At 39.2% G+C, this 24,952-nt stretch overlaps 1 protein-coding gene across 6 annotated transcripts in view, besides 1 other annotated feature; it reads left to right on the forward strand.

Annotated features, from left to right (window-relative positions):
* Positions 1 to 24,952, forward strand: part of AFF2 (ALF transcription elongation factor 2) — a 500,047-nt gene that overhangs the window by 402,647 nt on the left and 72,448 nt on the right. For all 6 annotated transcript variants that reach the window (NM_002025.4, NM_001169124.2, NM_001169123.2 and 3 more), the window contains one exon: positions 958 to 995. In NM_002025.4, coding sequence (NP_002016.2) covers positions 958 to 995 — 38 coding nt within the window. The remainder of the gene's footprint in view (positions 1 to 957; positions 996 to 24,952) is intronic.
* Positions 11,564 to 11,663: an enhancer, noted in NCBI's record as "active region_30010". NCBI's record gives its function as "activates an Ori minimal core promoter by ATAC-STARR-seq in GM12878 lymphoblastoid cells {active_cell/tissue: GM12878}" and the evidence as "EXISTENCE:reporter gene assay evidence [ECO:0000049][PMID:35858748]".

Consider the following 24,952-nt stretch of genomic DNA (forward strand, 5'->3'; position numbering starts at 1 on the left):
ATGCTACAGAAATATGAAAAAAAAATCATCACTAAAACCCTCCAGGTGCTTAAACAGTTTGATAGACTGTAGCCATTCTGCCATCAGCACCCCCAGCTGTGTTGCTTAGCAACATTTTAATTCCAGAAGAATCGAAGGAGATGAAATCCCTGTGGAGAAGGAAACAGAAATAAGAGGGCTGTTGACAGATGATCTGAGTTGTTTCTTCTAATATACTGTGAAGATCACTAGCTCTTTTCATGAATGATAAATGGACTGTACACAGATCAATGGGTTCAGCACTAAACTGGAACCGGGCTCCATGTCTAAGGCAATGCAGGCCGAGAGGCCCAGAGATTTCCTCATTTCTATGATTTGGTGTATATTTTCTTAAAGGTTCCACAGGAGGAAATTGATCTGAGTATTCAGTCATTCCTTGCCCTTCTGTGGTGTCGGCTAATAAAAATGATTTTAGAAAGGGACACTCGACTTTCTATCATGGTGGAAGTATGGCCAGATGTCAGTAGTAGTGCTAGGGTGAGCAGTTCCCTACCACAAATCTAAAAATCCAGGATATGCCCATGACCATTCCGTCTGCATCTGTTTCCCTAACCTGTCGTTACAACCCAAGCAGGTCCAAACACGGTAAGATTAGAGTGAAAGGTGGGAAGAGAGGGACCCTAGTTATGCACCCAGAAGTCCACTTTTATGGTCCCTGATGAACTTTCTAGGCAGCCCTCACAATATCCACCTCACAATTTCCACCTGTATTGGAAAGCTGCACTTGGACAGGTAACCATGTTTCCCAGGAGAAGAAAATTGCTTTCTGAGTCTCCAGTCTGCTTATCTACAGCACCCTGTTTCGGTTAGCTCCTTATGTTTCTGAAGAGCATTTTATATTGCTTATTGTTTTGGTAGCTAGTTGCAATGATTATGCCTGCTAATATTGTCTAATTGCATTTTTTCTTCTGTTTACAGGCTGTTGAAAAGGCAAAACCTAGGAATAATCCTGTGAAGTAAGTTATTATTTTTATTAGTTGCAAATGTTAATTTTAACGGACTCGATGCATGTGAAAAAATAAGGTCATAAAAGAGACCTTGGATTTTGAGTTAATCTCTATTCATGACAATTTAAAGACAAAAACAAAACAAGCCAAAAAAATCCTCCAATGAGCAGGGACCAGCTTATATTTTTCCCTGTGCTCCTGATGAAGAAATGCCCCAAGTTGTACCCAGTTTACATAAATTAATATGTGCAATCCATGAATAGCTGCCAAATACGATTATAATCATATTCAATACATAGTACTTCAAGCCTTTGGGTTTTGCACATGCTAAAAAGATTACATTTTTAATTGCAAACCTTGGACCTATGACAGAGACATAAATGACTGAAAGTGTGCCAAGTGATTTCCAGCCACGTGGGGAGGTTTGGCACCTTGGCATCAAGGCCTCAATACTCTGTTAATGAAAAGCTCATAAAATATACTTAACTAAAGGCTTTTCTTTTTTGTTTTAGCTAACAGAAAGCAATTCCCAAGGCATTTTATGAGATACTCTTAAATCATAAACAAGCTACACAGACCTCCTTTAAATATAGTACATCTTAGACATCCTGTCTCTTCCAGAAGGGAGACTTTCAAATTAAGAAGGATGGCTGTCTTGTCATTTGGTTTGTAACATCTGATTGCAGTGTTACAATGCATGCTAGTCCTGCCAGCTCTGTGGCTGAGGGAGGACTTTCTCTATTTGCTGGGCTATTATAGGTCTGGTAATATCACATCTCGAGGAACTATGTGTTAATTTATTTTGGCTGACTTCCTTTATAGTTGGTACCAAATACAGAAATGGAGAGTACATAGATTTTTAAGTTTCTGGGAGAATGGATCAGCTAATGCCAACAAGAAATGTTTTTGTTTTGTATAATAAAATAACTAAATTTCCAGAGCACCAGGGTAGCATTTAGCATACCATTAAATCCAAGCCCTAGTACGTTTTTCCAAAAGGTGTTGTGTACTTTGCTTTTAAGTTTCATTTTTCTTAGGCCAAAGAATATTCCCTATCAGGCTCTGTAACATCTAGAGGGGCATCCGTAGTCTGGAGATATATTATGTTGTAGTCTTATGGAAGTATTTGTAGTAGCTGAGGTTTTGTCAGGTCGTGCAGCTGGGGGTTGAAATCTTCTCTGCAGCCTGATTTCTTTTCCGTCTGAATGCCCTAAAGGCTCCTCCACTGTGAGCCTGTGGCTGGCAAGCTCGGAGAATTAGAGGATGGTGCTAATGAGGCCAGGGTCAGGGCTTTTGTCCCTGGGTGGGCGATTAGTGATCTTCTTTCCTGCAGTTCAACTGCACTCCTCCCTTCAGTCCGCCTGCATGCAGATGTGTGCCCCAGGTCATAAGGAGTGGGGCTAGGGCTGGAGGAATGTAAATCAAGGCCCTCAATGGCAAATGTCTCCAAGCTCCAGCCCTCCCAATAGGAAGTGATTCCCAAGTTGCATTTTTGCATGCATGGAATAGCCCATTGGCAGTGTTTGGGGTTGCATTTAATTCTATTCTAATGGCCTAGAAGCAGGACCTGTTTTCTCTTTGCTCCTTGTGAGAATTTGACCCTACAGTAATTGTATTTTTATGAGTTCTTATTAATTCACAGTGCACACTCTATCTAATGTCTAGCGTTTTGAGGAATGTTATAAAAAGAAGGAACAGAAACTAGAAGAGTCAAAGGATTATTGAGCTTTGTGCTTTAAATATATTTGAAAATCTGCTTAGTAATAAACCTAAGTCATAACCAACTGGTAGGTGTTTAGAATTGTCTTCTAATTAAGTAAGATACTGTTCTCAGAATGAGTTTGGGTTCATGATACCAAACTCAGCACTTGAAGAAGGAGACTTCCTCAAGACCTCAGCTCAGAAACAAAAACTCCACAGCAGGGTTCAGTTGCTCTGCCTGACAGGAGAACAGAGTCAAAGTTTTTAAAAAGTTTTATACATAGTGGTCCTTTTGCCATTTCTGATGACATCAAAGGCATCCCTCTTGAGGAAATCTCGACTGCACAACCCTACTATGCCCCCAGTTCAGCAGGAAGCAGTTAGAGCAGTTGTTGGCCAACCTCCCCAACAGCACTTGGGTTTTCCCATTGAGAGGGGGACTGAGAGACAGGACTAGCTGGATTTCCCAGGCCGACTAAGAATTCCTAAGCCTAGCTGGGGAAGGTGACCACACCCTCCTTTAAACACAGAGCTTGTAACTCAGCTCACACCCGACCAATCAGGTAGTAAAGAGAGCTCACTAAAATACCAATTAGGCTAAAAACAGGAGGTAAAGAAATAATCAAATCATCTATCGCCTGAGAGCACAGGGGGAGGGACAATGATCGGGATATAAACCCAGGCATTTGAGCCAGATCAGGTAACCCTCTTTGGGTCCCCTCACACTGTATGGGAGCTCTGTTTTCACTCTATTAAATCTTGCAACTGCACACTCTTCTGGTCCATGTTTGTTCCGGCTCAAGCTGAGCTTTTGCTCGCCGTCCACCACTGCTGAATGCCGCCATTGCAGACCTGCCCTTGACTTCCACCCCTCCGGATCCGGCAGAGTGTCCGCTGCACTCCTGATCCAGCGAGGCACCCATTGCCACTCCCGATCAGGCTAAAGGCTTGCCATTGTTCCTGCACAGCTAAGTGCCTGGGTTCATCCTAATCAGGCTGAACACTGTTCGCTGGGTTCCACGGTTCTCTTCCATGACTCACAGCTTCTAATAGAGCTATAACACTCACCACATGGCCCAAGGTTCCATTCGTTGGAATCCATGAGGCCAAGAACCCCAGGTCAGAGAATAAAAGGCCCGCCCCATCTTGGGAGTGGCCACCACCATCTTGGGAGCTTGAAGAACAAAGATCCCCCCGGTAACACTAGAGAATTTCAGTTACACACAATGCACTGGAACTCCAAATAGAGTAAAGGTTCAATACAAGTTTACGGAATGAATAAGTAAACAAATTGGACATATCCCAGAAAACAGGGATTCTTCCAGGAAAATAGGTTTCTTCCAGGAACCTAGCCTGCAGGCTTGATAAGGCTGGTGGCTCTCTTCTAGTAGAGTGTCACCATCATGTTAAAAGAACATGTGTATTGTAACTAACCAAGTGGTCCAGTCCTGTCGGGCGAAATTCACCCCTGATATTTCACGTAGGTTCTTTTCTGTTTTCCCTAAGTGTCAGCTGGTCTGAGACATAAAGGGAAAGAGTACAAAAGAGAGAAGTTTTAAAGCTGGGTGTCCGGGGGGGACATCACATGTCAACAGGTTCTGTGATGCCCCCCAAGCCGCAAAACCAGCAAGTTTCTATTAGTGATTTTCAAAAGGGGAGGGAGTGTACGAATAGAGTGTGGGTGACAGAGATCACATGCTTCACAAGGTAATAGAATATCACAAGGCAAATGGAGGCAGGGCGAGATCACAGGACCACAGGACCGGGGCAAAATTAAAATTGCTAATGAAGTTTCGGGCACGCATTGTCATTGATAACATCTTATCAGGAGACAGGGTTTGAGAGCAGACAACCAGTCTGACCAAAATTTATTAGGCGGGAATTTCCTCGTCCTAATAAGCCTGGGAGCGCTATGGGAGACTGGGCCTTATTTCATCCCACAGCTGCAACCGTAAAAGATAGCCACCCCCAAAGCGACCATTTCAGAGGCCTCCCCTCAAGGACGCATTCTCTTTCTCGGGGATGTCCCTTGCTGAGAAAAAGAATTCAGCAATATTTCTCCCATTTGCTTTTGAAAGAAGAGAAATATGGCTCTGTTCCGCCCGGCTCACCAGCGGTCAGAGTTTAAGGTTATCTCTCTTGTTCCCTGAACATTGCTATTATCCTGTTCTTTTTTCAAGGTGCCCAGATTTCATATTGTTCAAACACACATGCTCTACAAGCAATTTGTGCAGTTAAGGCAATCATTACAGGGTCCTGAGGCGACATACATCCTCCTCAGCTTTCGAAGATGATGGGATTAAGAGATTAAAGTAAAGACAGGCATAGGAAATCATAAGGGTATTGATTGGGGAAGTGATAAGTGTCCATGAAGTCTTCACAATTTATATTCAGAGATTGCAGTAAAGACAGGCGTAAGAAATTATAAAAGTATTAATTTGGGGAACAAATAAATGTCCATGAAATCTTCACAATTTATGTTCTTCTACCATGGCTTCGGCCGGTCCCTCCATTCGGGGTCCCTGACTTCCCGCAACACAGTCCCTGTTATTCTTGACTCATGCCACATGTAAAAATGTTCCTCCATTGCTCTGGTTCTTTCTAGCTGTTCTTTTTCTGACCAGTTCCTTGTTTGATCTCATATCAAGAAATAACATTTGATTGTCTTTTTGAGCATACAATGAAAATTGTGTACAGTTTTACTGGAAAACAGAGGCCCAGCGGCATCATTTACAACTCAAGTATGAACACAAATTGGTAAATATGAACATGTGTGTGGTTTCATATAGCCCTTTGGTGTAGAATTTGGCAAATGGTTGAAAAAAATAAAAAGAAGAACATTTCTTGACATGTGAAAATTATATGAAATTCAAATTTCAGTAAGCATAAATAAAGTTTTATTGGAACACAGCCACACTCATTCATTTCCATATTGTCTGTGGCTGCTTTTGTGCTACAATGGCAGAGTTGAGTAGTTGTGACATAAAATGTATGTAGCCTACAAAGCTGTACATTTTTACCATCTGGCCCCTTATAGAAAGTTTGTGGACTCCTGCTCTAGTTGGTGAGGCAGAAAAAAGCATTAAGCTTTTTTGTGATGCTGAAGGTTAAACTATCAATCCTTTCTCCTTTGGCCTTTAAAACAGTGAGTTTTAATGAGCCCTTATTGTGTGTTTAGGACTTTCTAGGGTTGATGTGCCACTTAATTCTCATTCAGAGCAAACAGATTCGCTCTTCACTCACTACCTTTGAAAATCATATGGATATGAGATCCATTGACAGGGCATTGATGCCTCAGAAACAAATGAACACATAGAACACATATCTAGGGCATACTGCTAGCCTTCCAAATTGTGTGTAGATGGATTTATTGCAAAGGGCATATTAATTTTCTAAAATTCTGTCACTTCCACATCTAACTAAGGCTAAATTAGCTTTCAGTTATGGTGCTGGTAAATAAACTTATTAGTGTATGGCTAATAAGTTTCTAAAAGTTTTGCCTCCCTCCCCTATTTCTTAACCACTCTTTCAATTTATTTTTAATACTTTCATGGTTGTAAGCTGCTTCTTTCATTGCCATAGGGAGACTGTGATATACAGTAATTATGCTCCATATAAAAAAGAAATTAAGTATATGCCTAGTGAATGTAAGCACATAATGTACCTGGATACACTAATGCCATTTCCTTGAAACATTAAATATTACCTCTGAGGGTAAGACTCAAACATGAGTGTTCTTAAGATCACTGATCAGGACAAGGGAAACCTGGTCTATTTCTCACTATACTGGAACCATACTGTTATCAGAGCTTGATTAGTATGTTCAAATTATGGCTCTTTAATGTGTCAGAAAGACTTTCACTTGTATTTTAATGCTCTGCAGCAGTCATCTCCAAGATTTCATTGTGACAGCAAGGCCTGAGAGATGTACAGATTTCTTTCACCATATGTGACTTATCACATACATTTTTTTCAAAAACACATTTCTGTTATTAAGACATATGTGATAGTACATTTCTGAAAATGTGAATTGCTTTTGGCTAAAAGCCATGCACTAATAAGTTGAGTTGAATCTAACCAAGGTTGACATCTGTTACCAAAAGAGAGAGAGAAAGAAACAGAGAGAGAGAGAGAGCATGCACACACTGTTGTCAAGCATAAAATTCTTCCCTGCTTTTACACTTTAACAACATTAAACAATGTGATGATTGTCTTTCACAATTCAGGATCAGAATCCACTCTGCGTAGGAAATTACGTTTTTTTAGGACCTGATTCATCATAGATATGGTGCTTTCATTAGTGAAAATGACAAATAGCCACAAAAATTTTCCTGACTATGATATTTGCACATTATTCATTTATTCATCTGATGAATATTTATTTAGGTTCTACAACATTCTGGGAACTGTGATAGGTGCTGAGGAAATTAAAAGTAAATCTGACACAGGTCCTACCCTTGAGGAGTTTAGAGTCTAGCAGAAAAGATAAAATCGGTTTGTAAAAAATTAAATACAAGATATATGGGGAGAGAAATGTTTGTTAAGTGGGGAACAGATAAAGTACAGGGAGGCTCTAAGAACAAAAAATGCTTCTAGTTAACACTGTCAAAGATGGAAGGGACAATGGGGGAGGAGAAAACATTTGCACCAGGATTTTAAGGACTGCTGGTTTGCGACACTGGTGCTGAGGTATGGCAAGGGAAAGCAAGGAGCCCAGGATGCCTGATGGGGTGCAGGCAGTGAAATACCAGGTTGGAAACCAAGGCTGAGTAGAAATGGTAGCTTAGGGCCCTCAGAGCTCACCCAGATGAAAGAGATTCACATGGTAGAGTCAAATGGCATTAAAGAGCTCTTCACTTGGTACTGAATGTGAATTATCCATCAGTCCCCTAATTATTAAACACAAAGGGTTGATAGACCTGGGTTCTAGTCTTGAATCTGATATTAGTTTGTAGTATGAAATTGCATGCGTCAACTCCTTGTTATAGGCCTCAGCTAGATTATTTACATGGACATTCCACTTCTTTAAAAAAGTCAAAGCCTGGAAATCTGTTTTATGATTATACTCATTTTAGAACAATATTAACCCTGTTAGTTCGATGTAGATTCATGCATGCACATAAATTATATATATATATATATATGTGTATGTGTGTGTGTGTGTGTTTATGTGTGTATAATGCATCTGTATTTAACTCCACACACACACGTGCACACACATAATGCCTTTCCCCACCATTTTTACCTTTTACATTTGTGGAATAAAGGACAAGAAGACACATCATTAGAGTTTAAAAAAGATATCTTAGGTGGAAAATAAGTGTGGCTCCAAAGACACTTGGTAAAGCCTTTGAAATGGCCCCCGAGGACCAAAGGTAATTTTGCATTTGGAGTCCATATCTCTTGTGATGTTCTTGTATACATGCACATCACAGACATGCAGAATGTCAGTCAGTTAAGTCACCATTCTGAATAAGGCAGTGGAATCTGATTTGTGTTCTGCCAGACAAGTTTTGTGGGATTTTCTCCTTGAGAATAAAAGGCTCCAGCACCAAGAAGTTTTGGCATCTTCTATCATATCCCTTCCCTGGAGCATCACTGTGCACATTCACATAATGTAGGCTCAAAGAAGGAGTTCTGTTTAGCTTTGTCTTACCTAAGGATTCCCAAATGTGTTTGACCAGAGGATATCTTTGTCTGGCAGGGCAAATGTTTCATGAAACACAAAATCGAGTGTTGTTGCTAACAATAAAGTGGCTTCATTCCATTTAAAAATCTTTAATTCCACATTTGTTGGCAAGGTCACAGAGAAAAGGGACACTTGTACACCGCTGGTGGGAGTGTAAATTAGTTCAGCCGTTGTGGATAGTAATGTGGCAAATCCTCAAAGAACTTAAAACAGAATTACTATTCGGCCCAACAATCCCATTTTTGGATATGTACCCAAAGGAATATAAATCATTCTACCGTAGAGATATATGCACGTGTATGTTCATTGCAGCACTATTGACAATAGCAAATACATGGAATCAACCTAAATCCCCATCCATGGAAGACTGGGTAAAGAAAATATGGTGTATATACACCGTGGAATACTATGCAGCCATAAAAATGAATGAAATTATGTAGTTTGCAACAACATGGACAGAGCTGGAGGCCATTATCCTAAGCAAAGTAATGCAGGAACAGAAAACCAAATACTGCATTATTTTTTAAAATTTTACTTTAAGTTCTGGTATACATGTGCAGAACATGCAGGTTTGTTACATAGGTATACGTGTGCCGTGGTCATTTGCTGCGCATATTGACCCATCCTCTAGGTTCCCTCCCCTAGCCCTCCACCCCCCCATCAGGCCCTGGTGTGTGTGTTCCCCTCCCTGTGTCCACGTGTTCTCATTGTTCAACTCCCACTTATGAGTGAGAACATAAATACTGCATATTTTTAGTGGGAGCTAAACAATGAGAACAATGGACACTATGAAAGGAACAACAGACAACTGGGCCTATCTCAGGGTGGAGGGTGGGAAGAGGGAGAGGATTAGAAATAAATACCTACCAGATACTATGCTTATTACCTGAGTGATGAAATAATCTATAAATCCAACCCCCATTACATGCAGTTTACCTATATAACAAACCTACACATGTACCCCTGAACCTAAAATAAAAGTTTTCTAAAAAAAGAAAATGAATTGACTGTAAATGCTTAGATTTATTTCTGGATTCTCTATTCTGTGCCATTCTTCTGTGTGGCTCCTATGTCTCTTTTACAGTGTGACACTGTAAGTTGTTTTTATGGATTGTAAATGCCCTGAGACACAGTCCTCAATGAAGGTATAGGAAATTTTGGGGTGGGTCCCACCGAGTGAGATACATGAAGCTAAGTAGTCCCCAGTGAGCTTCATCAGATCAGTGGGCAAAATGCCCAGTCCACTCATTTCAAGATAATGAGGCACCCTCAACAATGTGCTTCCTACATCCTCCCCAAACCTCTAGTCAATCTCTAACTGGCTCTCGCCAATTTAAGGACAATTAATGGAGAGATACCAATAACATCTCTCTCTAAATAGCTGCATAAAATAAATTGGGCTCTTAATGTTGTTCAGATAGACACAGTTGGATGCAACAGGTTCCAGCAATCATCCTCACAGCTAATGAAATTTGCACAAATGTCTGAACACCTTCCTTTTCATTGGTATTTGGATTTGTACCATCTAGGCAATCTCAGATGAGAAAACTGAGACCCAAAGAGCAAACTGCCCAGAACCCCAAGTTTCCAGGAACTCTACAGTTTTTACCAACTCCCTCTCAGGACACACATGTCCACTTTCCATGCCTAGAAATGTGTTATTGGTTTTTTCAGTTGTATTATGTAACTTTATTTAACAATTTATTTTCTTAGAACATGACACCAAATGTGTCAAAAATTAATGAATCATCAGATTTGCAGGTTCTTTAACAATTATGCCAACTTCAATTATATTAAATTTATATCTGTAAGGATAAGTTTCTTCAAAACTTCAAACACGTTAGTTGCCAAATTACCATCACTCATCTTTCCAAAAGTTTTATGAGAACCTTTTCTCTTTAGGTGTTAAATTAATACCCTAATAACCATAGGGATAAAATAGAAACAAAAAGCACCCATTTATTGGTGAATCTGATGGACCTCAACTAAGCCAGCAAATGTGGAATTAAACCATTTTAAAGGGAACTAAACCATGTTATTTTTAGTATCAACATTCATAAAATACTGCCTGGTCCACGTGTTAGTTTCTAACTCTGTCCTTCTTAGTGTTTGCTGTTTAGACAAGAATGGACAACGCTGTTTAATCTGCCCACATAAGTCAGCTCAGTTTTGGGTACATAAGAGTTACACCTAGAATTTTATTTCAATATTGCCGTGTAGTGATCTTTCAGTAAACTGTCAAAAATGTAGAGTCACATAGCTAACCTGCTAGAATTCAAGCAAGCCACACATTTGCTCTTTTAACAAACAATAATGATGTCCCTACTATGTGCCAGACACAGTTAATAGAGAGATTAGTTAAATAAGATCTCTACTGTGAGAGTCCCCACACACTGGTAGGGAAAGACAAAGCCATTACACTACAGAATAGGTCGTTTGTATGATTGAAGCATGTGTAGCATTCTATGGGACAGAGATGAAGGAGGGAGTGACTGCTGAGAGTGAGCTCTCCCTATCTCAGCAGGAGTCCCCCAGTGAACAGTGGGGAGAGGCCTTTCAAGAGAGCAGAACAACATTTTCAAAAGGCACTAAGAGAAGAAAGCAGATGCTGTGTTGTGAGCAATGTCTGGTACTTAGAGGCAGCTGGGGCGGGGGGTGGCATTTTTCACAGTAGCGGAAAATACCAAGTGTGTGAGTTGTAGAATAGAAAAGAAAGGAAAGAGTTGTTGCATGTGCCAGTATACCTAAAGCATCACACTGCCAAATATTAATACTTGGGCCCTACTTTTGGTATTAGGAGGAGAGCAGTGTAGTGTGGGTGAAACTAACAAAATGCTGGAAAGGATTCTTTTATTCTAGAAAGTTAAAGGTTAGAGTTAGGGAGAGATTATAAGGTGCTCTTTTTAAACTGTTTGCAAATAAATAGACACATCAAATCCTTTCTGATTATATCTAGCTAATCCTTCTCTGTGGACTTTTATGTAAACCTCAGCTCATATAGAGTTCCTGTAAGCATTCAGCTGTTCCCTTGTGGCTTCATGAACCCTTGATTATTTCTTGCATTTTTCAAAATGTTTCTTTCATACAGTTCCTTTCACATTACACAAATGTCTAGGCTACACTAAGATATAGTATTTTAGGCATGACACAAAACACTATTATTTTAGCTTCAGTTTCTGAATTCACTTCACAGACATAAAATTTCTTTCTGAATGTATTTTTGTCAGCCCAAAACATAAGCACAGTAGGGCTATTTAGGGCTATTTTTATTTCTAGGGAAATGATGCATGCCCCCATGGTGACTATAGACAGGGGTCCAAACAGTAAATCAGTCCTCTGTCGACCGCAGAATGCGTTCAGAGTCAAGAGCCTGAGGTAGTAAGTTATTATTCAGTTGACTACTAGTTTGGGGGGACTGAGAACTACAGAAATGACTCATTTTGGCCAGGGCCTCAAATAGGAAACAAATAGTATCTGCTTTCTTAAAGCTTTTGCCTAAATCAACAGGAGTTAACTAGAGAGCCACCATTGAAAAAGAAAAAAAAAGTAAATCATTCTTCCACAAGAAAATGTTTTTATTTGTAGAATTTACAGCATAGGGGTATATTACATGTCATTATAATCCAGTTTTTATATGCACATGTGTTTATATACTCTATATCAGCATACCCTCATGCACCATGGTAATTTAAATCCAAGACAGAATTGTTCCCCTTGTTGGGGCAGGCAGAGGCAGCCATAACTAAAAGAAGGTCTCAAATCTTTTTCTCAATTCTCATTCCTTTTCCAATTTGTTTACTGTCTTCTGCACCTCTCAGCACCATACTGTCACAACAAGTGGGTCCCACGTACTTGGGGAAAGCATTTCAGAAAACTGTTGTGGCTTATATTCCTCCATGGAAGCCTGGCAAAGGGAGCTCAGGGCAGCCAAAGAGCTCCTTCGTACTCATTCATGTTTGCATTATCAAACGCTGCAGTGTGGTTGCTGGGGATCTGCTAATAATAGCATCTACATCTAAAATCACAACTTATTCATCTCTCTCACGAGCTGGAGATGTGTGTAACTTCCAACACTGGCTAGGTGAAAGTTTAACTTGACTCATACCATGTTGCGCAGGTTTAATAGCAAATTAGACATGTTAGAAAACTTGCTTTAAATATATATGTGGATGTGTATATACACTCTCTACATACACATTGTACACTCACATATAATTTAAGCTTCACCTATTTCCAAACAGGGATGTAACATAATTGAAACAAGATTGTACAGGAGAATGTTTAAAGAAAACAGAAGAACCTATTTCCAAACACTACAGAAACATCTGTTTACATATGTGATGGAACTAGAAAAAGCTATGTGTTTTTAAAATCAACACCCAAATAAGGGCCACCCTTACAATGACACAGCAGAGCACAGCTGTGCCCTTCCTGCAAGGATGCTGTTGTGGTGCACAGCCCGTTGGGAGATCCCCTTGGAGAGTGTGGTCAAACCATGTATGAGGTTCTTCTCCTGGTCTTAGTGATGGGTAATAGACTTTTGAATGTGGTTTTAACTTTTTTTTTTTTTTTTTTTTTTTTTTTTTTTGAGACGGAGTCTTGCTTTGTCGCCCAGGTTGGAGTGCAGTGGCGCGATCTCGGCTCACTGCAAGCTCCGCCTCCCGGGTTCATGCCATTCTCCTGCCTCAGCCTCCCGAGGAGCTGGGACTACAGGCGCCCGCCACCACGCCCGGCTAATTTTTTTGTGTTTTTGGTAGAGACGGGGTTTCACCAGATTAGCCAGGATGGTCTCGATCTCCTGACCTCGTGATCTTCCCGCCTCGGCCTCCCAAAGTGCTGGGATTACAGGCTTGAGCCACCGTGCCCGGCCGGTTTTAACTTTTAAAAACTAATCTAAGATGGTGATTCGGAGCCATGGATGTTGAAAACCAGTTGTAAATAAAAGCAGTTAATGTGGTTCAAAATAAGAATGATTTCTTCTTGCACATAGTGAATGCCTTGAAGAGGAATTTTACAAGGCTTTGAGCAGGAATAACAATATTGGACCACCGCTGTATACAAAATAGCATACAACCTATACACGCTCACTCTCTTTACCCTACTTTATTTTTTCTCTTAAGTACTCATCATTCTCTCTCTCTCACTCTGTCCCTTTCTCTCTCTCCATGTTTTGAAGTGTCACCTCCCACAAGAATGTAAGGTCCATACAAGTGAGAATGTTGTTTTAGTCACTGCTGTAACCCCAGCATCTCAAATAGTAGCTATCATATAACAACAGCTCAGTATCTTGAATGAGTAAGTGCAAACATCTAAGGATATCACTTTAAAGTTCAACCGTCCTAGTTTAGTTTGAGTATGCGTTTAGTCTTAGAATAAGTATGATTTTGTGCTGCCCTTTGGAAATCATACTGAACTAATTATTAACCATTGGGTAAATTATTTGCTTTTGTTGGAAAGGAATAGAGTTTTATTTTATAATAATCTATGTTCCATATTAGCTTTATTCTGAGCCATCATAAAGCTAGTTTTACTGTTATTAATAGAGCTAGAATTTGACCCTCCAAGTGATTCTTCTGGTGTATATCCACCTTCATACTTTTGATTCATTCCCTCTACAAATTGAAAAGAGGAGGCACAGGAGTGAAGATGTCGGCCTCCCTATGAATGGGGGTTAGTGCATGGGTAGTTATATTTGATGTATGTCATTAGGCATTTTCAAGAATGATAGAAGTCAAATTTTCATAACATGGGACAAGGAAACAAAAACATCATGAAGTTAACAGTTGAAAACACATGCAATTTTCTATTTTGGAAAGGCATCTTGATCCTCAGAAATCTGCAGGATTGGACACACAGCAGCCAGTTTCAGAACCCTCACACTTGTCCTCTTCTTTGGAGTTATGAAGTCTGAGATGCATCTGATACTTCCCTTTTGTCCTTCCTGCGATACTCCACTGTCACAGGACTAAAAAGCATTCAGCAGCTTTTCCCATTGGCCAGTAGTTGGAGAAGTTGGATGGCTCCAAAGCTCTAAGGGAGCGGCCCTTAAGCAAGGCTTGACTCACTGTCACGGACGTTTCTAGCCACAAGGTCTAGGCAATATCTCTGCAAAGTGGTTAAACTAAACAAGCTTTCTTTAATTTTATATGCTTCTCATGAATATGTAAGTCATTAAATCCCTTGGTCACATCTCAGTGATGGGGTAAAAATATCCCTCTCTTAATATTGAAGTGTACAAAACAAACAAACAAACAAACAAACAAAACCCAAGACCGTGTTAAAGGAAATAACATTGCTACAAGGTTAATTTTGCCTCATACAGCATTTCCTAGAACTGAATTGCCTGATCTCCTCCCTCGGGGGTTGCGCCAATGCTTGCAATAACCAAGGCTGATTTTATTGGAAAATCACCACTAGATGAAGAACATACTCCAGAGGAGATTTTGTATGGGACAAACTGGTTTCTGGTGCCAGTGTCATGTTATCCAGGTTAGCACTCTTTGAGCTCCCAATCTTTCTGTTCATTCAGGCAGCACATTCATTAGCAACCCTTAAAACAGGGTAGAATAACTAGACATATCAGGGAATTTACTTTAAATTGTTTTCAAGACTTATTGGCTAGCAGGCCAGTATTCAAATTGTAGCTCTTAACATGCACATTGAATGTTTTACTAGTAGTGGTGAGACTCGCGGTAGTTTTTATTTCAAATGCTTAACAGATAACTCTTTAACATAATATAGGACACTCAAAGATCCTGCCTAATTGGGAAGAATTATGGAGGGTAGATTGATAGGAGAGAGTATGATGGTACTGAGTAGTGAAGATCTCATGTTACCTTTGTAGGCACAGCTTATCGAACAGGCATTTCCTGTTAGTTGGCTTTTTTAATTATAAAAAGAATCCATAGTTATCTTGACAGCACAGCGTAGCACAACTCACCCAGAGACACAAATTCGGAAATATACCCCAGCTTCCAAACTTCACCAAGTGGAAATGGAGAATATTATAAATGGAATACATTGAGCCTCCAGGAGGAAGGAAAGGGAGGAGGAAATTGATAGAGAAGCCACACATCTGCGAACTCTGGTGACCTTGGGATGACATTAATTCTAGAGGCTAGAGGACAGATACTCAAAAGCTGATTTGATTCAAGATGGGATACTTGGAGAAAAATCCAGAAAGGATAGTTTTATGAACAAGAGAGGGAAACAGCATATATCTCATCAAAGTACAGACTGCATCTGATCTTCCAGCTTCTTAGGCAAAACCTACAATAAGAAGGAGAGAAACGAACCCCCTGTTGTCTTCCTTTTGAAAGTCTCTCTGCCTGGGCCACTCACCAAAGCACAAGAAAACTTGTTCAGAGACAGTGTACCTAATGCCTACTTCTAGATTTGTAATAATTCAGACATTAATGTAGAAAGCCAAAATATCTGTCTATGCTGACTCATTGGTACCTTCCTTTTATGAATTTTGTGTCCAGATTACTATTATTTACTCTAACTGAGAGAGGGAAAGTAAAACAATTCCCAAGATTCGGCACTGACACAAAGCTTTTTAACTACTGATATAGGTGGCATATGGCTTAATACTTGGGTTTTCAGCAATCAAAAAGCAACCCTGTGCAATATCACCGTAGCTCAGTTCCCAGTGGGCATAAGAGATGATTAGATATATTGAGTTCTTTGTGTCATTCAAAGAATAAAGAATCTCATACACATTGGTGTTAGCTTCCTCTCACTTCATTTCAATTTTCAATAACCAGTGTCATCACTTGTAACAGTTTCTTCATAATGAAACCTCATGTCGAATTGGATTTGTCTTTCAAGTGAAAGCATATTGGGAAGCCTTCTGAAACCTCATCCTTGAAATAATTGTTACTGCTATAAAATTTTTACATATATATATAAATATATAATTTATTTATTTCAAATTCCCCAAAGAAGAATAATATAGAAAATGAATAATAAAAACAAAATTATGACATTTGAAAAAAGTTATAGGTTCACTTTTCATATTTGACAAGTCTGGGGGAAGAAGTGCTCTGGTTAATCCAAATAATTTGGTTAATAGAGCTACCACATATAGAGAGAATGATTTTCAAGGAATTAGAAGGCTATATACCCTTAATAAAAAAAAGAAACAATGTGATCCATAATATAATCTTTTCTAATTCAGAAAGACCATATAAGACTCTCACTGTGAATAGTTCTCATTGTGCCATTTGCACAGAAATTCTGATTACTCAAAAGTTCTAGGTGCTTGGACACAATCATGCTCAGTCTCATTTTCCAGAATATCAAATTATGTTCTTGGATTTGGTAGTTTGGTGTTAAATCACACCTTTGCTCTATGTGGCTTCCTACCACCTCAACAAAACTATAGTCAATCACACTGTGATGTAAAAAAAACATACGGTAGTGTCTGCACAAATTCTACAGTGTCCAGGTTAAGTCAAGCATTGCCTAGACATTTTGTCTCCTACTTTCCCAACAAGAAGATAGTTGTATTGGGGTAGTTTTTCTATAGATTATAGATTATTGAGAGTAGAACTCCCCCAGGCTTTTTAGTGGTATAGATGACTGAAATCCAGACATATTGATCCTTGTAACATTTGGAGTGACAAGGGGTAGGAGCCCTGAACCTCTTGACTGCAAACCATCATGTTAGTTTATCCTGACATACTATTCCAATTCTTTCCTTTGTGGGCCAAGATTTGTAAAAGGTTAGGAATTACTATCCTAGGGATTTAGGTGTTGCATATCCATGTTCATTTTTTTGAAATTAAAATTCTATAAAGCAAGGTAAAGTACTCAGATGGTAAAAGCTTTAAAGTCATGGTTCTCTCTTCCTTCAGCCAATTTGATGAGCTAAATAAGCATTTCTTAAAGTATTGTCCATGAATGGTGTTTTGAGGGATGTCAATAGGTATTGTGAAGGACAAAAATGTGTATGTCTTTGGGGTGTGTGTGTGAGTGTGCGTGTGTGTGCGCGTGTGTGTGTGTGTGTATTTGGTGGAGGGTGGTTAAATAAGTATGGGAAATTCTGAGTTTTAAAATTTTTCTTCTAAGTTGAATTTTGAGCCCTTAATATTACATTGTGCACCTCTAAGATGGGGGACATAGTTTATTGTTGTGTTTCCATAGCTTATTTGACCCTAGAAGCTTTTTGCCTATGGAATATCAGAATCAACTTTGAGACATGCTGGAATGAGTAAAGTTGAGTTGTGTTGGTGATTTCGACGCATCAGTGGGTTAAGGAAAGTCATTGCTGTGTAAGGCTACCCCTAACTGAGCCAGAAGCAAAAATGTCTTTAGGCAACATGTTTCTGGCATATGGAGCCGCTGCAGCAAACCCTGGAAGGTTCACCAGCCTATCAATGGGGCCACTAAGCTGGACAGTGGTCCTAAGCAGGGAGTCTTTAAGCCACAGCCTCATTGCAAGCAGGTAAATTGAGCTAAAAAGTTGGAGATTTATGGTTCAACTAATTAGGTGATTATGAATACTCATATTGGCTAGGTCAGCATCGTTAGTAATGTCTATTCCTCTCTTAAACTTTCCCCATGGTAGACATATAAAGTGGGGATTTTGAGATCATTACACAATTTTAACAGCTTTATTGAGATATAATTCACATATCATACAGTTCACTGATTTATACAATTCATTGGCTTATATATTCACAGATTTTTGTAACAATCACCGCAATCAATTTTAGAACATTTCTCTCACCCCCCAAGGGAGCCCTGTACCCGTTAAGCAGTCACTCCTCATTTCTCCCTCCAGTAAGCCTTGACCAGTAAACTACTTTCTGTCTCTATGGATTCACTTATTCTGGATATTTCATAAAAATGGAATCATACAGTATGTAACCTTTTGTGTCTGTTTCTTTCACTTAGTATGTTCTCAAAGTTCATCCATGTTTTAGCATGGGTTAGAACCACTAGCTGATTCTAACTAGGGAATGTTACTAGGAAAAAAAGAATGGTCTTCCCTTTTCTACATTCTAAATGTATAGGGAGAAGGAATTTGATGGCATTTTAAGAACATTGAGAGATATTGAAACAAAAGTAAATGATAACTTGATACATTCTGATGCTTAAGATAAAATGACTCTATTATGTGGATCCTTCTCAAAAGCATTGAACATCTTGTGGATTAGTTTTTAGTAAGCTGGTGTTAAGTATGAATGGTGTTCTTCAATTCTGTAAACTATTCGTCCTACTTGCAAAACAAGGAGGTGGTGTGGCTATTGTATCACATATCTATGGCTTCCCAATTCATATTCTTACATCTGGCAATTTCCTATTTTATGAAATATTTTAATATGGCAAACTCATTCCAATTACACAGTCATTATAAGTTTTGCCAAGGTTGAGTATGGATCGTTTTGTGTTCATTAGAGCACAAAATTAGAATTTTCATTGCTGCAACCATAAACACCATTGGCACAAAGGATTTGAGCATTTTCTCATAAAATCTTGGACAACTGATAATTGTTGTTTTCCCTGTTTTTCAGCATATTTTAATTTTTTGAAACTATTTTCTGTATTTCCTCCCCTGGTATATTTCTTTTGGCCTAGAAGTGATTCTCTTCCAAACGGATGATGTCGCACACGATGCATGAACTAGTGAACACAGAGAGCACCATCCCTAGAGTCAGGGGAAGGAGCATAAATTATTTCTTTAATTTTCTCAGCTTTAGTTGGTCCAAAGTCTGGCAGTTAGACCTGAGTAAGTCTGGAAAAACCGTCTGGCACACCTACATCTGTTCTCACATTTGCCAATCAGGATTTATCAAAAATCAATGGCTCAAAAACATGAAGCTCTTGAGAGGTGCTAATTTGTGGCTAAAGAATAATTCAAATGCAGCACCATTTGGTCTTCATGGAATATGGTTTCGATTTTGGGAAATTCAATGACTGTTTCATCTTGCTCTCTTATATTCTCTGTTAAAAGAAGGAAAACTGGAAAGTAGTTCTAATCTAAGGACTTTATTTCCCCTACATTTGTCCCTTTGGAAATTTGGAATAACTTTGCCAAGGGGATTTAGATACATCAGTGCTATTTATTTATTAATGGTCACTCATACATCCCTGATCTCTTCCTACTTATCAGGATGTTCTCAGCAAAACACCAACACTTGATTCTGTTTTTCACTTACCATCCCTTTTCTCCAACCCTCTGCCTGATATTCGAAGTCAATCACCTATGAAGAAGGTGACTCCCATTCCTCTCCCTCCGAGGCAGCAAAGAGGAGATAACATTCATTATTCATTGCAATGTTTCCACTTTGCCAAGATGTATTCTCTTACTTCAAATTCAGAACAGTTTATTGGCTTCTGGGAGTTCAACAGCCATGGGTGGAGGAACATGTTCATTAGAGGAAGCACATGACTCTGCCAGATTTAACTGACAGATTTTGAAGCTGGAGCAAGCAATTGGCTGGCACTCTTCAGGCATGAATGTCCTTTGGCTTGTGCTGTGCTCATTGTTACACAGGTGCTCCTTATAAAGTACGTGCACATTTCTAACATAAAACCAATAATGTCATTCACATACCAAAAACTATAGAGAGCTTATGCCCCCGTGACAAATTTGAGATGGGAGCAATCTACACTATGATGTATATGTATAGTATGATGCATATGTAACTGACTAGATTATACTTTGATACAGTTAGGTTGCGTTTATCAGACTTTGTAGATTTGGAGATTAAAATGATTTGCTTTTGAACCTCATATGCTTGGGACAAGAGGTTTTGTCTCTGAAAGCCAAAAGCGTCTTGTCAAAAGGCCGCTTCCTTAATATTGCTTCTAAGGTCAGCTTTATGATGTCAGGTCTAGAGTATAAACATTAAACTCTACTACTGTTTGCAAAAATTTTGAAACGGAAAGATACCAAACCATATTTAGCTCACTAGTAAGTAAAACCCAAAGTGTGTGTGATAGATAAAATATGGGCATGTGTTAAAAAAAAAAACATGATGTATATTAGCAGAGTTGAACTGGGTCCCACAGATACAGCACAGAGAATAGAAAAATACTTCGACTTCTAAGAAAACACTCAATTGTTTGCTTTGTAGGATGTATATAGTCTTTGCCTAGAAGAGTTTTATTCTCTGTGAGGGAATCCACAGTGTACCAAATATTCCCTCTTGCAGGATCACAAATCACTTTCTGAATCCAACCAAAAGCTTCTCTGATTGCATGTGTTTATGAGGCTGGTGAGTGTCCAGGCCTTTGAAGAAGGAAGACTGTTTGGGTATATTTGTTACAGAAAAAGGAAGTTATGGAGGTTTCTCTGGAGCTGTTTATCTTTTGTGAAAAAGTAGAATATGTCAAAATAGAGCCACAGCTTAAACTCTGGCAGTTCCCAGCAAATAAACGAGGCCTAATTATATGTAGGACTTCAGCTCTATTTAAATCAATAATAACAATGGAAATGATCACCAGATTTTTAATTTTTCTATAAAAAGTGAATTGAATGTCAGCTTCATATACTTTGGATGAACCTCAACTCTTCCTAGAGTGGAATAGCAACTATAGGAAATCAAAATGTAAAACCTTTTTACTATATGGACTTTGATTTTCTTCAGGGACAGAATTAACCACCAAAGATAATGATTAAACCTACCAGCTAATGAAAAGACAATAGTGAGATAGTGAGATTTGTAGAAAACTCATCATGTATATGCATGGGTGTGCATGTGTGTGGGGGTGTTTGTATACACTTTTAGCAAACATCGGTTTTCTTTCACTGGAGGCAAATCTGCCTAAATTCAGGGTTCTTACCTGAAGCCTATGCCTTCCATGCAGATGAACAATGCTAGATGTTATGAGATTATGAAAAATGGAGATAACTTGGACAATTAGTATCTCTTCCAAGGAAAACATTCTCCTTAATTTGATGCATGTGAATGGAAATGTGTTGAGCCTCTACTCTGCTAGACACAGTAGGGAATTTCAAAATGAGGAAGCCAACACCTGCCTATAGGGGCATTAGAGGTTAGGTGGGGTGGGATCAGGGAAAGGAGGAATTCAGACACACAGCTTCTTCTACTTCCAGATAGATGCCAACCCAAGTATGACACAGAAAAACTCTTACAATGTTAGAATTAGGCCAAAATTCCCCACAAATCCTTCTAGTTTCAACAACCTTTGGGTAATATAGGCTTACACTGCTTCTGTTGAGTTCTAATGTCTACACACTTTATCTACCTCACATTTTGCCAGAAGGTTCTTTGTAGGCTGAATATCAGCAGACAGCCCAGCCAGATCTACTCAATAAGTGAATGCATATAACAAGACACTTGCACAGACTTCTAAATCTAACCATTCCATCAAACAGTAATAAAAAGTAAATCTGCATGATATTAGATCAGATTATTTTAATGATTTCCTTTTAAGAGCAGCTGTCCAGTTTGCATACGTCCCTTCCTGAATCAAAAGAAGGGGGGAAATGCATGAGCACTGTGGCTCCACACAGTTCTAATCCTGTCTAATCTGTAAATCCCTATCTGCTAATGTGTAGCTTCCTGTCAGTAGATAGCCATAGGGATAAACTTAAGAATATTCAGCGGTGTTATCCCAAATCTTAAAGAAACCATTATACCGATGAGATGTTATCATCTTTATTTTTAGAGAAAATTTTAAAGACCAGAAAATAATTTGAACTTTTTAACCAGCTTATAGAGTTAGTGGCTAGAACACAGTAGGTATTTAATATTTGTTTAAATGATTGAATGCAAGAAATATTAAAGAAAACCTCAGCCTATAGGACAACATTTCCACAGTGTGTGTTACAGGTACACTTGTCCCAAGGGATGCTAAGAAGTCAGCAGTTTGGTGTTCCAAACAGTTACTTCCATAACAGAATGCTGGCCGATGGCTCTGGCCTTGGGAGTTCAAGCCTCCTGTAAGGCTTTCAAAGAACCTAGGTTACAAGAGGCATAGCCTGGAGTAGTGAGGGGCACAGTGTTTGGGTTCAAATCCCAGCTCTGTCACTTCCTCACTGGGTAGTTTTGGGCAAGTTGCTTTAGCTCTCTTTGTTTCCCTTCCCTCATCTGTGTAATGGGGATAATGATAGAATGTGCCTTATAGTGTTGTGATGGAGATTAAATGAGGTGATATGTGTAAGGCAGCTGGAATAGTGTAGCTATGCAAGCCTTCGGTATGGTGTTCATTCCCATATTGGATAGCCTACCAGCTGGGTTCAATGGCAAGAGTTCCATACCTGGTGTAAGAAGACCTGGATTTGAAATCTGGTTAGCTTTGTGGCCTTGGGCAATTTCTTTAACTTTTCTTAGCCTTAGTTTCCTTGTTTCTAAAATGAAATAATGCTTCCTATAACTGCTGTGAGGATTAAAAAAGAGAATTAAATGAGATTCTATGTGTACAAAAATCCCTGGCATATGGTAAGTGCTGGATAAGTATCTTCTGAGTCTGCTGGATGAGGGTCCTTAGAGCAATGGCCCCCACACCCAGCCACGCTTAAGCTGATCTGACATTCCTGGTATTTTTCTTGCCTTATCTTGCAGCTCTACTGCTTCCCATGTACTGTGCATTACGTAGAGAGTAAGTCCAGAGGTGGGGAAGCATCAAGGCTGTACTGGAAGTTCCATTTTAGGCCGAGGCTTGCTATGTCATAAAAGAAAATAACAAAGTATGTGTTGGTATCTTTTGCCAAGAGCGACCTAAACACATCAAAGCCTGACAGTTCTATTTATTTGGTCTCTTCTGAGATGAAAAGGGGTGAATGGAAATTCTCGCACTCCACCTCACACTGGTTGCATGAGCTCCCTCTCCACCAATGACAGTGGCCGACTGATGGTATAGTTTAGGAGGGAGAGTCTCCCTCCACTCTAGTCATTACTCTTGTTGGGGATCTGTGTGAAATCAATTTCATTGCAGAGCAGCAATGGAAGTAGCCGTGAATTCCATAGTTTCTAAATGAAGACACAGCATATGGAGAATACAGAGTGGAATTTATAGCTCATAATTACACAGGATATGTTGTCGGTCAAGTCCATCTTGCTGGTGTTCACAGCAATCCACTCCTGCCCACATTAAAGCATTGCCAAATTGCAATAACCTCCTGGCCATTTTCCCAGTGATTGAACCTTGCACACCACTTCAATCCATATTCGTTGATTTTCGTCAATAAAATGAAAGCTTATTGGTGGATCTATTTGGGTGACCTCTTAGAATAAAAGCCTCAGTGTCACATGGAAAAAACAGCTTATGAATTCTGCTCTGATGCTCTAATAGAAAGAAATACAAAGCATTTAACAGGTGCCCACCTCACAGTTCTACTTTTCCCCAGATATTTTCAGATTTTCCAACCCTGAGACCTAAGGCGTCACTTTCTCTAGTGATTGTGTTTGAGGTTTTTTATGAATTCTCATTATTGGTTTACCTTTTGGTGCCACTCTGAGTAATGTTAGGATTTTTTCTTATGGTATGCCTGAGACTTAAACTTTACAATTTATCCAGAAAGCTAATACATTTTGGAAAAAAGAGAAATTGGGACCTTGAGCATGGACATTTATCAGTAACTACTAATGCTATGACTAGTGAATTATTTAGAGAGAGGCAGGGAGTATGGCTGAGGCAGGGTTCAAGGCAGAGAATATGTGTTGGCAGAAACCTTATAGCAGTCAGACTAAATAAGCTTAATAATTTTCTTTTCTTATTTAAACAAATAACACTTTTACTGTAAATCATTCCTCCCTGTTTTCTTCTTTCCCTTTCTCTCTTTTATCTTGTTTTTCTTTTTTGCTGCATGTCTGCCTCGCCTTCTCTTTCCTGTTTCCTCACAGTCCTCTCTTTCTTTTCCTTTCCTTTTTTTTCTGTCGTACATTCTCACACTCTACCCACCAGGGCTCAAACTCCACTATAGTCTCATTAGACTGTAGTTTATAGAAGGAAAGTAAAGATACCTGGAGGCTAGGTTAAAGGGAAGGGTCCTCCAGCTATTCTCTTGTGCTCGATTATTATTTTGAACACTAAACAGCAATTCGCTCACAGGCAAGAGGGATGTGGCGTTCTGCATTCTACTGAGATGTTGACTTCTTTCATGGAGTGTCATGAACACTGTTTATTACCAAAGCACTGTCAAACTCCCTATTTTTGGAGATGGAATACATGATGTTACAATGTTTTTACACATTCACTATTGAATTGTACTTTATTTAAATAAAACAACATTGGGGAAGGAATCATTAAGTATATCAAACTGGCATCTTTCAGGTGGTATTTCCATGTGCTGAGTTACTGAAATGAATGCAAAGATGATCAGGGATTTTCACTGTATTCCTGAAGATACAGATGGTATCCAACATCTCCTCAATGAAGCCTTTGGCTCTGTTTTTCGTAAGGTTCCCACTCTGTTCATATGAAGTAGTGTATCTTAAATATAAACCTATCATCAGGTTTAGCAAATCAATACCATAAGAGTGTGAAATGTTCCCCAGAACTCTCTACAAGGGCATTTCACAGTAAAAGCAATTGAAAAAGAAGCTGCAATGGAATATCTTATGAGATAGCCATTTAGATCACAAAAGGGCCATAAAAG

Source organism: Homo sapiens, chromosome X, assembly GCF_000001405.40.
Source record: "Homo sapiens chromosome X, GRCh38.p14 Primary Assembly".
Taxonomy (NCBI): domain Eukaryota; kingdom Metazoa; phylum Chordata; class Mammalia; order Primates; family Hominidae; genus Homo; species Homo sapiens.